At 42.9% G+C, this 16,255-nt stretch overlaps 2 long non-coding RNA genes across 2 annotated transcripts in view; one reads left to right on the top strand and one right to left on the bottom strand.

The window, feature by feature from the left end:
• Nucleotides 1-16,255, top strand: part of MAFTRR (MAF transcriptional regulator RNA) — a 49,221-nt gene that overhangs the window by 32,595 nt on the left and 371 nt on the right. The window lies entirely within an intron of this gene.
• Nucleotides 12,853-16,255, bottom strand: part of LOC105371356 (uncharacterized) — a 49,125-nt gene continuing 45,722 nt past the window's right edge. Inside the window, exon 5 of the long non-coding RNA XR_001752268.2 lies at nt 12,853-14,409. This is a non-coding gene — a long non-coding RNA (uncharacterized LOC105371356). The remainder of the gene's footprint in view (nt 14,410-16,255) is intronic.

Raw genomic sequence — 16,255 nt, 5'->3', positions numbered from 1 at the left:
ACACATATACACAGGCCACAAATGAGGGAGTAGGGAAATGAAATGGTAGAAAAAGGGGAGGAAAGAAAGCAGAATCAGTTCCTGAATGGCTTTGCAAACTGAGCTGAGCCAAGAGGCAATGGGGAAACGTTGAAGGGTTTTAGCAGGGAGCAATCCAAGCTCCAGAATATCTTTCCTCCATTCTCAAAAACTCACACATGGGTGCACAAAGCCACCCTCACCCTTACACAAACAAGGAAAAGAACTGCCTGCCTACCAAATGATTAAATTCACAGCAGTCATTTCTGCAGTCATTCAGCACACATTTATTAAGTGCCTACTATGTGCTATTTGTAGTGGGTAGTCAGAAGCGAACAAAACATCATAGAGCTTTCAGTCATGTGGGGAAGATAGACTAAAAGGAAGTAAGTAATCAAATTCATTCATAATCAAATTGCAGAAAGAAATAATGTGACTATGAGAGAATGGGAATAGCAATTGGCAGTATCCTGAGGTGAATGAAAGGGTATTCATTGAAATCCTTTCATTGAATTGAAGCAGTATCCTGAGGTGGGCTTCTCAAGCAAGGCCTCTGGGTAGGAGACGGGTAAGCCAAGATAAGAGTGAATTAAAATAACCAGTCTGTAAAGGGGTTGGGGAGGAGTTGTCCAGGCTCTAGGAATGTTTTAGATGAAGAGACCATGAGAATACAAAATCTTTGCATAGGTGGGGAAACAAAGAAGCCTGGAAAGCTGAATTAGAATGAGGGAGGATGAGATCACAGATGGTTTTATAAGATGGGCAGAGACTTGATGCCCAGGAAGCAATGGGAAGGCAATGAAGGTGATTGACTGGGAGGAGTGAGTCTTGCATTACATTTTGACTTTAAAAAATGTTTTTAAAGAGATGGGGTCTTGCTATGTTGCCCAGGCTGGCCTTGAACTTCTGAGATCAAGGGATCATCCTGCCTTAACCTCCCTAGTAACTGGGACCACAGGTGTGCACCAACACTGTGCCCAGCTCACATTACATTTTGAATAGCTCCATCTGGCTGCTGGGAGGCCTGGTGATTTTTGTTGCTGGTCTCCTTCAGGGGAGCTTGCTTGGCAAAAGGTGGTAGTCATAAATGAAGAGACAAGTAGACATTTGAGTAATAATATGGACAGAACTTGGTGATTGTAAGAGTGAAAAGAGTAGAATTTGGCAAAAGATGCAGAACTCAAGCACATGATGTCCAGAGAGCCCAACTGCATAAAACAAGGAGAGCCTCAGCCTGCAGACAGCATGGGGGCAGGACTGTCTCATGTCACAGCAACAGGGCATCTCACTGCTTCTGGAAGGAGACAAATCTCTCAGAGGATCCGGGGTGTCCTCAAGTCCAAACTCAAAGGGTGGCTGGTTACATTTTTCTTTGTCTCCAAAAACTTATGCATGCTTGATGCTGCTTTTCAAAACAACATTGAAGAATTAAAAATTATAATGAAATCTGGAAATGTGGTACTGATCAGGGGTGTTTTCTTCCTTCATCACTGGGGTCTGGAGTGACTCAGAGAGAGCTCAATGCAGGCATGAATTATCTTTTCCATCAACACTATCGCCCATAAGGAAGCCACATCTGCAGCACTACTCACCAACCAGTTTTGGGGACCACCTGGGAAAGGGGTGGGGGGGACTCCAGCTGATTACTCAGGACAGACCACCCTTTGGTAGGAACTGCCCCCAGGAAGCTGATCTAGCCCCCAGTGTTTGCTTTTTCCTTTGTTTTCTTCTTCTTGCTTCTTCCATTGATCCTAAGTGAATAGCAGTGCTTTGAGCTCTCTTGGAGAAAAGGGAACTGGCATGTTTTAAATAAGAAAGCACTTGCTGCAACCAAGTCCCTGAGTTAGTGACTTTACATGGCTTATCTGATCAGAGGTTCACAGCAAAGTTCGATGTGGGAAGTATTACCCCTGTGTTACCAACAAGAAAAATGAAGTTCAGAGATGTCAAGAGAGGTATCCAAGGGTGTTGCATCTAACAAGTGGTAAGGCCAACAAGACCACAGATAATAAAATCAACAGTGTCCGTTTTGATAGTTTTACCATGGGCTAAACCAGGGTTTAAGTGGTTTACACACACCTACCTAAATAATCCTCACCCTCAGTCCTCAGTAGGAGGCAATAAGGAGGAAAGACCCCCTATGAGGAAGGTGTTCCTATTATCCCCATAGCCCGAGGTCATCCAGATAATAAGAACTGGGATTTGATCTCAGCCATTCTGGGTCTTCTCTCTGCCCTAGATTTGCTCAAATTTGTGCCCTTTTCATTGTACAACTTTGCACACAGAATCACTTAGAAGACAGTAATTCTAAACCCATTATGAGGACCTCAGTGGGAGTCAGGAATGAGAGATAATTAAAGAAACACTTTCTATAATGAATGTCACATGGGCCCACTGCCTGGGTTTGCATATGTTTGCATATGTCAGCCACATGGGTACATTTCAAGGGACAGATAGCATGAAGTCTTGGAGGCTTTTCATGTTTTTATGTGTGAGCTAGAACACATGGTTGAAGCTTTCTGTCCTCAGTTCCCTCAGTGTTAAAAAGAGGCTAATTTCTTCTACATGAGATATATCCATGGAAGTGTTTTATAACATCTAGCACATAGAGGCATAGACACACAGATTTCAGTCCCTTTCCCACTTCTAAGGAATCAGTGTGTCAAGAAAAGAAAAGTGGAGGAGAAAGAAATGGACACACAGGTTTTCTTTGGGTTCAAAATGGAAACACTTACTGAAGACACAGTGCCTACAAGGGAATTCAAAATGGAGATATAAGAGAACCCAGAGGAATCAGGCAATGATTGTGATAAGAACAACTAGAATAGCAGAAGAAATATTATAGTGAAAGAATCTCTTATTAGTCAGATTGTAGGGAAACAAAGGGTCTGGCCTGCCAATTTTTTTTCTTTTTTACAATCTGCATATGCCTCACCCAGACACACGTTAGGCCACCCACAACAAGTATAATAGGCTGTCAGGCTAAAGAGAATCCCTTCTGGGGGGTATGAGTTGGACACCCAGATGTTTGCATATTGACTTATTCAGAGTAGAGATAAACAGGGACGTAGAAAGAGAATGTCCCCAGCCTCCACTGGGGAAAACTGGCCACTGAGCAGCATAGACAAGAGGAAGGAGTAAAATCCAAGTATAACATGGGAAAGAAGATATTGCAGAACAAGAAACCAGGAGGGGAGAGTGTGGAGGGAAAAGACTCAGGGATGTGAGGAAAATGAGTGAGGTGTGCAGGATTCAGGGTGGGTTTGGGAGGGTATGAGTTTTGCGGAAAAAAGATATTAAGGAGTTACTGAAAAAAAATGGGATAGAATTGTAAATTCTCAAGAGTTTTCCCTTTGAGTCAAAATGAAGTGGTGGGGAGCAGGGCATTTTGTGATACCCGTGATTACTGCTCAGTGTAGGATGTCCTCAGGGTAAGGACTGTGTTTCATTTGCCTCATGGCCCCTGCTATCCAGCAGGATGTGGACACACAGTTGGCGCTGTTAGTGCTGAATGAATCAGCACCTATGGTAGGAGGGGAGTCATCTTGATCCATGGCCCCTGCTATCCTGCACCATGAATGCAGGGAGCCCAGAATCCCAGCAGCAAGGTGAGGGTGGAGGTGGTTGGGTGGGGGAGACGGAAACCCCCCAGTAGCCAGTGCTGTGTGCTGGAAGGAGAAGCCCTTCATCTCTTTGCACTGCCCACAGGCACCCAGTCAGCTGAGGGGCGAAGCTGTGTGCTCTGCACTAGGGCAGGAGAAAGGAGGAGAGGTAGTAGTGGTGGGATGTTCTCTCTCCAGGGGTGCTGAACCTGCCCAGACCTCTCTCAGTCTCATGCCGAACCAGACTATGTGGCTTTCCATCCCTTCTCCCTCCCACAAATAGATCCTTTTGTTTGCCTTTCTTTTAGTTTTCTCAGAGTCAACTTGGACTCCCAGTGGTCAGTATGGGCTCACCAAGATGTTAGTCTAACACTATCACAGACTAGAGTCAGGGCAAAGACTAAGGGCCAGTACTGAGTCCTCATTATGTACCAGACACTGTGCTAAGGGTTGTACGTGTCTTCTCTAGGCTTCATAATAACCAGAAAAGATGTTGTCCAAGTCCATGATGAATTGCATGAAGATCAGAGTAGATTCACAGCTTGCTCAAGATAACCTCGCTAATAAATTTGGTCTTTCTGGCTCTTAAATCTCCTCCTATAAAACCACGTGGGCATTCAGCCATTTTGATATTAGTTTTCGGGGTGGTGATGGGGTGATAATGGTAGGGATGGGGAAGGTGACAATAATCATTTCTATTATTTTATCATGATAATACTGACATAATTATAGATGAGAAAACTGAGACTCAGAGAGGTTAAATCATTTGCCCAAGATCACAGAATTGGTAGATGCATCCTTAAAATACACCAGAAAACTACTTAGAATGTGCCACACTGCTGATACACAGACATAAATAGAGATTGAAGAGTGGAGGGTGATGGGTTGAGGTTTAAGGCATACATTTTCCTCCTACACCCAACATGTTGCATTCAGACAAATTACTTGTCTTTATGCTAACCAGTAGTTAGGTATGCTGTATGGCCTTACTGCAGCCATTTTTGGGGGCTGTTTCCATGTGTATTTATCTTATTCCACCACCTTGGGATCTCACCGTAGTGGGTTGGAAGGGAATGAACAAGTCTGCCCAGAGACCCAGCTTGGAGAAGAACCCTTGGTAGCAGAAAGTAAATCTCAGCCTTTTAATATCAGTTTTCATTTCTTATTGATCCATTTTATTTTCCTTTTATAGAAGAGGAGCGCCCCTGCAGTCTAGCTCATCAGTGGACCTTTAAATGTTTCCTATTGATCTGTGAAACTATTGTCTCGGTCTGCATTACCCCTTTTGGAGACACCCTTTGCTTTTGGGTCATGTTCTGTATTTAGCTTGCCTTCCCAACATGGCTTCTTTTCTCAGAGCAAATAGTAGACATCTTGTGCTCTAGCTTACAGATTGATCTGTTGTGGTAATGCTGCTGACACCTGTTTTGGGGCTCCAGGACATCTTCAATTCTGAAAAGCAGTGGGCAATGTTGGTAGAGGGGTGAGGGTGTAGTGAGGACCCAATGGCCTCATTCCAAAGGAATAAAGTAAGGTTAAAAACAAGAACTGCCCTTTAGTGAGCACTTTCTCCTTGCTTCATCCTCACAACAACCATGGGAAGAAAAGTTATACAGATGTAGAAACTGAGGCTGAGACATATGTAGTTGTTTGTGCAGACATACTCAGCTTTGAATTGTTTTTCTAGAGCTTGTCTGTGAAATCCTTGTCTCCAAGATGAGAATCATGATAGAACATTCTAGGGGCATTCTAAGGTTCCCATTAGGTGATATATCTGAGGCCCTTTATAGAGTGTCCAGCACAGAGGGCGTACCCAGTAGATACTTGATGAACGAAAAGATACCTCTTTCAACCCATTACAACAAATTATAAAATTCATTTGTCTCCTCTACCCCCGTCATTAGAGGGAAATCCATTATTCTTTCTAAAACTAACACTTTCCATGAAGCGTATCTTCCAGATTATTTTTTTTTTTAAAGTATTTGAAAATAGCTAGTTTAGTGCCTGGCATACAGTAGGTGCTCAATACATGTTGGTTATTTCATTTATTCTTCCTCCCCTGGCTCCTGAGAAACTCTATGACTCCTGTCTCCAGCATCCTCAAATTTCCTTATCGTTTACCTTCAGACACAGTCTTCCTAACGTTCTTTTTTTTCTTTCCAACTTTTATTTTAGGTTTGGAGGATACAAGCACAGGTTTGTTACATTGGTAAATTGCATGATGCAGGGGTTTGGCATATAAATTATTTTGTCACCCATGTAATGAGCATGGTACTGAATAGTTAGTTTTTTGATCCTCATCCTTCTCCTGCCCTCCACCCTCAAGTGGGCCCTGGTATCCATTGTTCCCTTCTTTGTGTCCACGTGTACTCAATGCTGATCTCCCACTTACAAGTGAGAACATGTGGTATTTAATTTCTGTTCCAGCTTTAATTCACAAACACTATTAACCTCTCTCCAATATTTTTTTCAGCCATACTCCTTGAGCCTTCATCAGCACAAACTTTCTTCCTCACAGCTCACTCTTTTCTTCTCAGCTCCTAGGAATTGCCTCTGACTTCTCCTAAGCTCCTATCTCTTCAATGTTCTATTGACCTATTCATTTCTTGACATTCATACTTGTCTTTCTCAGCCTCTCTCTTGCCTTTTATAATGTTCGTTATCCCCTCTTCCTTGACAAAGTGCTCTCTTCTCTTGGCTTCTGGGTCATTTCATTAGTTCATTCATTTATTCACTCACTCCACCATTTCCATGTGCCTTTGTGTGCTATAAGAGGCACCAGAATTAAACATAGCAACTATTCAAGGAGCATTGAGATACGATGGTATACTCTGAGCTTTCTTCTCTCTTCTGCCCTTCTGCCTTCTGTCCAACCCTGAAGGATCCTTTCAGCCTCCCTACAGATGTCATCTCTGCAAAGACATCCTGATCATCCTTAGACTGGGACCATTGTTTCTTTTTGTCTTCACTGTTCCTATTCATTCAGCTTACTTCAATCATTGCCTACATCCCTTGGATGGAAATTCTCTAGTTTTGCTTCCAGCTCACACTGTGTGTTCCTTAGAGGTATGGAATAGGCAAGGCTTGATAAGCATCTACTGAGTTCAATGGAATATTGCCAGTAACTCCTTCACTTTCTCCCTTGCTTACTCTTTTTTGTTCTGTTCCATAAACGGAGACATGTCTTGAGAAGTTCAATCTTTGTCTCTTCATGCTCTTTACGTGGTTTGTTTATTATAAAACAAGCTGGAAAAGACATACTCTATTTATTCCGTTACGGTCTTCAGCTATTATCTTGTACACAACCATACAAATAGAGTCTTACCATTCTTTCTGACCTTGGCCCTCATTTTCCAGGGCAGCACTCATACATCCTTTAACCAGGAATCTTCACCCCGGTCAGTTGTGTCTTGCATTCATTTCTCAAGGCTGCTATAACAAATTATCACAAATTGGGTGGTTTAGAACAACAGAATTTTATTCTCCTGTAGCTCTAGAGGCTGAAAGTCTGAAATCAAGGTGTTGGCAGGGCCGTGCTCCATCCAAAAGTTCTAGGAAATAATCTGTTCCATGAAAATCTCCAAGCAGCTAGTGGTGGCCAGAAATCCTTGGCATTCCTTGGATTGTAGCCATTTCACTCTGATATCTGCCCTTCTTACCTCTGTCTGTGTCTGTATCTTTACAAGGACACTAGTCATTGGATTTATGGATTTATTACCCACCCTAAATTATTATGACTTCATCTTAATTTCATTATATCTGCAAAGACCCTATTTACACATAATCTCACATTCTGAGGTTCTGGGAGGACATGAATTTTGGGAGGACACTACTCACTCTCCATTCTTCAATCTATCTTGCTACCAAAATCACATTACCCAGTCACTGCATGGTCATATCCTTCCAGGCCTCAAAAAGCTAAAAACAACTTTGCATGTTCCCACTTTCTTGACCACCATAAGGTACCTAAGCAGTCTGTTTCCCAATCATAGTGCACATTAATTTTAAGTACTTAAAAGAATTATGACCCTGATAAACTGTAAACTCTATGGGAATAGAAATCTAGTCTGCCCTTTTTATTCCCATTTCCAAGCATGCTGCGCAGCTTGTGTGTAGGTGTTCAATTGCTGTCTCTTGAATGAAGACGCGGTGAGTTGAGCCTCAGTTTCAAGTCCTCTACCTGACTTCAAAGAGTCCTCTATTACCTGTCACTGCACCATCAGCTCCCGTCAGCATTTGCTGAGCAAAAATTAGGTGCTCTCAGTAGATACTTGCTGGTTGATGGATCAATCCATCAACCAGGTTTCCTGCTCTGAAGCGTTTTTAATCTGGGTCTCCAGAGGGGTGAGGTAAGGGGCATAAGAGGGGCAAAAGATGGACAGTAGAGACACTTGATCAGCATTCCCACCTTAGAACTTCTGGGACTTGCGCAAGGTTTCAATTTGCCTGAGAATCCACTTGTAGTCCTTCAAGGAGAGATAAAAACAATGACCTTTGGAGCCATGGAATGTGGGGACCAGCACATGGACATGAAGATTCATATGAAGAGTATGGTATGAATTAAGATTCACGTTTCTCTGCAGAGAATGTTGGAGAAAGGCAGGGTGCTGACTTAAGTTGGAGAGATGCCAGTAACCTGCATTCTCACCTGGATCACCAATAGGTCTGTGCCAGTAAAGAAAGTTTGTGAAAGTTACACTGGATGGCCACACATCTTCTAATACACACCACCTTGGCGTGACTTGCACCTGGGTCTTTAAAAAATGATGTTCTGAGACTCTGGATGAGGTTGCCCCTAGAATGAAGCTGAGACTAGTGGAAGCAGCTGTTTCTGATGTAGCTAATCTTTCTGTCAGTTGGCTTCTGCAGAAAATGTTAATGTCTATCTAGGATGATTACAAAAAAACAGAAAGAGCAGAGGAGAGGTTGGGGTACCAATCACTTTACTGTGAAATTTGGTCATAGGCCATCACAATTGTTACCCACACCTGAGTCAACTCCCCTCCCCACCTCTACCCCAAGCTGATGTGTCCTGAAGCAATGAACTTCAGACATCTAGTAAGTCAAAAGACATGTGCATCTACTGTTTTATTTTTCCGTGTTGGTTTTTCTTTTGTAAGTGTCCTAAGTCACCCATCCTCTTAGCACTTATTTTTTTCAGGGATTACAGAACTAAAGCTGGCTTTATTTTGTTTCAGTTCCCTTGTATCCATTTCAATAGAATCACTAATACCACTCATTTTCAGATTTTGTGTGCTTAATAGATTGGGAATATGAGGTCATGTGTCCAAAAAGATAATTATCATTCTGGGCAATGATTGAATGGTTTCATTGTCCTCAAAATATACTGCAGGCAAAAACGACTTTTGTTATGGCATTACCTGATGTGTGTGTGATTCCCGAAACTTCACATGACTCAATTTGCCATTCTAGAATAACAAAAAGTTAACTTTGCTACAAGGAAAGTGGAATTTTAATAGCAGATACGTCTGTATTATCAGGAAATGCAAGCTATGCAAAAATTGTGTTCACTACTAGTTTATCAGATCCTGGTGAGTGAGAGTTTATCACATGTGCCTATAAGTTACTGAATTTATTTATTTCCAAAATTCTCATCACTTGGAGCTGGAGGGATGAGCAGCACCTCCCCTGGCTTTCTGTAGTAAGAACATTGGTTGACAACACTTCTTTCACAGCCTCTTTTACTTCCTGGAGGCAGAGAGAGCCTCAGCTTTGTGCTCTCCCGGTGGAATGTGGATGTGAACTGAGGTCACCATTCCCACAACTCTTTGAATCCCAAAAGGACTGACATAAAGGATTCTTGGAAAGAATGTCCAGCTTCAGGCCAAAGCAGGAAATAGGAAATGCCAAAGACTAGGTGCATAGATTAAATCATGACGAGCAACCTAGAGCTTTCCTTTTCAGTATTTCAACTCATCATGTTGCTGCTGAGCTCAACATGGAGGTGCCAAGAGTGGCCCCACTTAGAGGTCTGCCTCATCTGTGTGGCTGTGTAGCTTCCATATGGCTCCAGACTTCCCACTGCTTCTGACCTAACCACAGCAGCATCCAAGACAACAGGGCACCATGGACAGGGTTTATGTTGCCATCTCTGGCCAAGCATGTTTCATTCTCTATTTGGTTTCTATCTCTTCAACATCACCTTCAACTCTCATCATCAATCTGCATCAATGTAGAGTTAATCTTCAATAATAATCAAAGATGAGACCAATCAGTCAAAAGACTGGATGTAGAAACTGAAACTTTTGGGTATGAGTCTCACTGCCTCACTTACTAGGTGAGTGAACTTAGGTAAGTGACTGAACACCTCCAAGCACTCACAATCCTAAATGTCCTCCAATAGAAAACAGGTAACAATACCCACCTGACACAAGCTGAGATTCAAAATGCCTGTACCACATGCCATAATCCAGGGGCAGGGTGGGAAAACCACCTTTGCTGCTGGAACTTTTGAACCATGTGCTCTCATTGCAACGACAATCTAAAGTAAAATTGGCGAAGCATTTTCTGCACTATCCGTATGACCCTTTATATTTAAAGAACTGCCATTGCATTTTAATGCCGATGGTTGCAAAGAAAGTTTGCAAGATCTTATACTAATTTGTTTGGCTCTACTAGCGAAAAAGGAATAAAAGGGAAATAAATTTAAAATTATGCACTGTTGTCAAATCAATGCCAAGTAACATCATGATGCCCAGTATAAATGGGGAGCAATCATGGGACACTTGAGTCATCATACCACGTGTAGGCTTGGTGAATGGAAATGTCCTGTACAGCAGCATTCAATACCGCTTTTGCGTAGTAAGTTTTGAATCAGTTTCATCAAAACTATATCATCTGTTGCATTTAAGTAAAATTTATATAGCTTTGTTTGCATTCAATTTATTAATTTATTTTGTTTTATAGTTTCGTAACAGCAATAAGCATTGGGAGGTAAAACAGAATTTTGCTTTCCAAATATTTTTTTAAAACATCATACTAAAAAGAATATGTCAGATTTTATTCTGTACTTTAAGTGGAATCTGTGTGTAACTAAATTGGGGAAGCATTCTAATAACATACTTGAACTTCTACATAGTAAATCACCCAGAGAAGATACATAAGAAATGCTGAGTTTTCTTTTTGGAGGTGTGTGTAATGGCAGTGTATCTTCCACATGGTGAAGGATAGGAAGGATAAAAAAAATGAATAGTCATAAATCTGTCTATTCATCACTTTTTATGTGCACCTAGTAATATGCTAAGGATGTTGCTTAGATTGCCTTTCTAATCTTCATAACTATTTGAAGACATAGGATATTCTCCATTATATTACATTGCCTTCCTGCCTTCAAGGATCTGACAGTCTACTCAGGAAATGACTCATGCATAGAAATCATTCATTTGAGGTTATGAATGTTAAATGCTAAAAGAAAGGTACGTGAGAGCTCTAAGAAGAGAGGGATCTGTCAGGGTGGGTTGTCTGGAAAGTTTCATGAATTGAGGGTCAGATATGGATTGATAGCATTGCAGGAATGTTCCATCTGTCCCTCCAGACTCACTGTTCCCCTTCTGCACCCTCCTCTGAAACCCCAGGAAGCACCTTTCATAGATGATAACAACAGTTTCTCTTGCTAACTACCTGGTTTCCCTTTGGGCTCCACCAAAGGGATGGCATCTTCTTGTTCCACAGAAGCTTGGAAGAAAGTTTTCTCCTTTCAGAGGTCATCTTCTTCTGGAAGTCTCTTAGTAGGTTTCATGGTCAGATCACTAGTGGGACTGGATGTCTAGAATGGAGGGTCCCGTGAGAGTTCCACAGCAGTTTCAAAATGATTTGCATGGTGTTGCTTTTCATACATTTAGCCTCTAAGCTGCGTGCCAGGCAGAGGTGTATCCATTGGTGTCCCCTCAGGAAATGCAGCTTTATCATGAGCATGTAACATGGGCACATAAGATAGCCGCCTGCCAATATCAGAAAGTTGGTTGAAATCAATCAGAGGAGAAACCAAGCCAAGATCTTGGCAAAAGCATGAGGAGGTCACAGGAGTGTGGGAAGACAGGAGTCAGGCTATTTATTCCTTGGCATCCCCCTTCTTGACAAGTTGGCTGTTCTCTCTACTGAAAGCCAGAAGCTTGGGGGGGAATGTACCTCCTCAACCCCTATCCATGCCACTGTATGTTATTTATTCCTCAAGTCCCGCCCTCACCTCAGTTAAATATCCCTTTAGTAAACTCTCCTCCCACTGCCCAGTTTTTGTATGTATCTGTTTTCCTCTACCCACTGCCTGATACACAGAGGGATGGGGTGATGGAGACCCCATACCAGGGATCTCAGGTGGGCAGCGCGTGGGGGCTTATCTAGGCAGGTACAAGGTGTATGTTAAGGTGCAAAGGATGGTGAACACTGAATAAAAATAATAATTATTAGTATTGGCATTTGCAAGCCTGCTTTTACCTAACTGGAAACTAGAATCTTTAGCTCCATAAGTTTGAATCCTGGAGAGACCAGAGCATTGCTACTTCCATTTTCCATAGGAGGAAACAGAGTCACTGCTTAGACCTAAGGCAGTTTAGCTATTAAATGGCAAGGTCAAAATTCAACTGAGGTTCTATCTATCTAATTCTGTCTCTGGATGCTCATTCAGACCTCTTTCAACCTCTCAGTGACAGAAACAGTCTGATGAGAATAAGATAAATACGTGGCTCAAGTACCCAAGTAAGTATCCCAGTCTCCGTTTAGAGGAGTTAAAAGGAAGAAAAACCTTAAACCCACCTACCCTTAGATCACAAGGGTCCTCTCTGAGGCCACCCTTTGGAGGAAGGGCTAGTGGAGCCATCTCTTTTGTACAAGGAACTTCCTTGAGCTCCTTTAAACTGCAGAAAGCACCCCGCCATGTTAACTGGAACGCCCTTTCCAAGTGCAGCCAGAATCAGATTTTAGAAACTCTCTGGGCTTCTCTGAGTTAATAACTGTCTATCTTGCACCTGGCTGGCCTGCACGCCTCTGGGTCCTGAACTCTGGCCAGCAGCTATATCTGAGCTGGGGCCCACCTGCTCCTTGGAGAGTTGAAGCCTCCAGAATGAGCACGCATTAATGTGATTTCCTTGTGGTTAGGATGCTGAAAAGGCCTAGTGTGGCTCTAGAAGAAAATCATGGCATCAGGCATGCAGACCTGGCAAAGAATGTGCTGGAAAACCTGGCTGTGTGACAAACTTTTAGAGAAGGGAAGAACTTGCATCAATAAAATTTATTGCATTTTTAAATGTTTTTACATGTTTGTTATTAAATTTCTGGGAAAGATAGTACAGTTTAGCGAAGGGGGTGAAAAACACTGTCCCCCATCTTGAGTATAGCCTAGGAATATTTTTCTATATTTCTGTATAAATGCATATACACATTTTTTATTGTAAAAGTGTACATCCTGTTTACTCAAAGTGGAGTCCATGGACAGGTAGCCCTGGAATCACTTGAGAATCCACTGGAAATGCGTAATCTTGGGCTGACCCCAGATTTACCAAATGAGAATTTTAGCAAGATCTCCAGGTGGTGGAAGGGCACATAGACTATAAAGCTGAACAGTGTCCAATGGTGTGAATGTGCCATGAATAATTTCATTAATCTCCTTTTAGCTCGAAAAATTATGCTTTGTCTAAATTTTCATGATCACATGCTACAATACAGTGAAAAGTGCTACAAAATAGTCTTTTCCATTCAACTTTGTACAAACAATAATGATGGTGATCACCATTGTTACTATGATTTATTAAGTGCTAATTACTTGCTAGGCCCTGTGATGAAAGCTTTACAAGAATTCTCATCTCATCCTTATCATGGCCTCCTACAAAGGGGCTATCTCTCATTTAGAAGTGATGTTACAGAGGCATATTTTAAATAAAGTATTTCAAATAATTATGATATTTTAAATATTGATATTACTATGACCGATGATAACGGTGATAGCATGTATTGGTCACACGCTACAGAGACTGTAGTAACTGCTTTATGTTCATTTTCTAAATCTGAACTTCAAAGGCTGAAGAGGCAAGTGTTATTAAACTCTCAAAATCAAGGTAAACAAGCTCAGAGGTTAAAAATCTTGTCCAAGGTCACATCTCAAGATCACAGTAGAATCCCAGTCTGGATGTGGGCTTGCCCGTTCCTCCACTCTCAGTCATCATGGTGCAGGAAGAGGAATGTGCTAATTTGCTTTCAGTTCTTCAGTGCATCCTTGGGGCCTCACCTCTCTGTCACTGTTGAGCTCCTAAGCAGGCCATTCTTCTCCCCAAACCTTTGTGTGTGAATAGAGAAGGGGATTCACTATTCACACTGCACTGCCTCCTTGGGGGGATGGGCTTAGAGAACAGAGGATTTGTTCCTAATCACACATCTCCACAGCAGAGCTGCAGGCATCGGAATCCTCAGACATTCAGACTGGCCAGCCGTGTGGCAAATATCCCAGGACTTTGCTGGGAACAATGGGCACTGAACTGCAGGTGACCCGACCTGCTAATCGCTGCCTGATTACCAGCTAATCAGTGCCTTGTTTGGGACACTGAATCCCAATTCCCTTTGGACTGGGCTGGGCCTTGGCAGACAGTCACCTGGTTAATGTGGCAGGGGCGAGGCAGAGGGTCATGTGCTCCAGTGCACGGAGTGGCCAAAGGCCGCCTTTGGGGAAATGGTCACAGGGTCAGTCTCTCCCTCTGATCCTGGGCAACTATAACATTTGTCAACAGCATGGAAGTGAATCGAGGTGGAGAAGTAAAGGCCAGTGCCTCTTTCCTGAAACCTATGGAAAAAAACAAGTGAATCGACCTTTAAAGGCACAGAGAAAACGGAAGTGTTCTTTTTTCAGAATTTCTCAAAAGAAAATATCATCTGGGAGGGTGAATTAACCACCGTCAAGAATCCCATAGCTACCACCTCCATAATCAATATCATCACCACCTCATCACTCTTATCACTTCTGTCATGGTAACCATCACCCCACCCCTATCCTCACCATCACCACCACCTCCACCACTACCACTACCATAACCATTACCATCATCACCACCAGCAACAACGCTTCTATTTCCACCACCACCCCACCACCAGCCTCACCACCACCACCACCACCACCACACCACTACCTCAACAGTTGCCACCCTCTCTCCTACCATGGCGTCCACCACCACCACCACCACCACCACCATTACCACCAGCACCATCACCATCATGATCATCATCATCCCTCTCCCACCATCACCATCACCACCACCACCACCACCACCACCACCACCATCACCATCATCATCACCACTGCTGTCACCATCACCACCCCCTCCCCACCATCGCCACCACAATCACCACCACCACTATCACCGTCACCATCACCACTGCTATCACCATCACCACCCCCTCCCCACCATCACCACCACAATCACCACCACCACTACCATCACCATCATCATCACCACTGCTATCACCGTCACCACCCCCTCCCCACCATCACCTCCTCCACCGTCATCACCCCACCCCCACCTCCACCATTACCACCACCAGCACCATCATCACCATGCCCTCCTCACACCTCCCACCAACACCATGTCCCTCATCACCACCATCACCACCACCACCATCACTACTTCTGGCCCTGCTGCCACACCACCACCACCACCATAGTTATCATTACCATTACCAACACTGCCATCACTGCTACAACAATTACTACCACCATTATCACTATTATCACCACCCACACCACCATCACCAGCACCACTTCTACCACCACCAACACCATCACACCACTATGAGGACAACCACCTTCACCAGTTACTTATCATCATTAATTTCACCACCACCAAGAGCAGTGAAAACAATACCATCACTGCTGTTCCCACCACCATGACACCACCACGATAGCTGCCACGCCGAACTCACATTGCCATATCCCAAGGAAGCAGTTTAGAGTAGTATTTTTAAAACACTGGTTTGAGAGTCAGACCAATTTAGGATCTATTCCAAGAAGTACTAGTTGTTTGAGTTTAAATAATCAATTAACCTTTGAAACTTAATTTCCCCCCCACAAAAAAAAAAGAATAGAAACAGTAATAGAGCCAGCTCATAGGAATGTGGCTCATACTGAACATTTAACACAATGTTTGACCCATAACTCAATGAAAGTTCACTATCTTTATGATCATTATTTCTGCCCCAACTCCTTTTTAATACACAGCTGCTCCCCTAGCATTTTTGCTTGAAAATGGGTGAGGAAAGGACAATTTATCCCTTTATTTCTAAATGTCATGGGACCCTCTAGGCTGCCTGACATCCCTTAGAAGCGGGGGTGTGGTCATGGCAGTATGAGCTGAAGAAAGTTCCAGATTTGGACTCAGCTGTCTGGGTTTGAATCCAGATCTGCTTTTTAAAAGCTCTCTGACCTTCAAAATGTGTCTGTCCTCTCAGAGACTTCCTTTTCTGAAAAATGGGGAATGATCATCTTTTCCTTGAAGCATTTGGGGAGGATTCTATGAGATAAGATAGAGAAAAGCCCCAGCAGATGATGGGCAGAGAGTAGGTACCCAATGCATTGAGTAGACTTTGATTTGCTGGTATTTCAGTTTTGAATAAATAATTATAAGGAAGTGAAAAAC

The sequence above is a fragment of the Homo sapiens genome, chromosome 16 (genome assembly GCF_000001405.40).
Source record: "Homo sapiens chromosome 16, GRCh38.p14 Primary Assembly".
Classification (NCBI taxonomy): Eukaryota; Metazoa; Chordata; class Mammalia; order Primates; family Hominidae; genus Homo; species Homo sapiens.
Note: the sequence above shows the minus strand (reverse complement) of the source record. Positions and strands in the feature narration are given on the sequence as shown.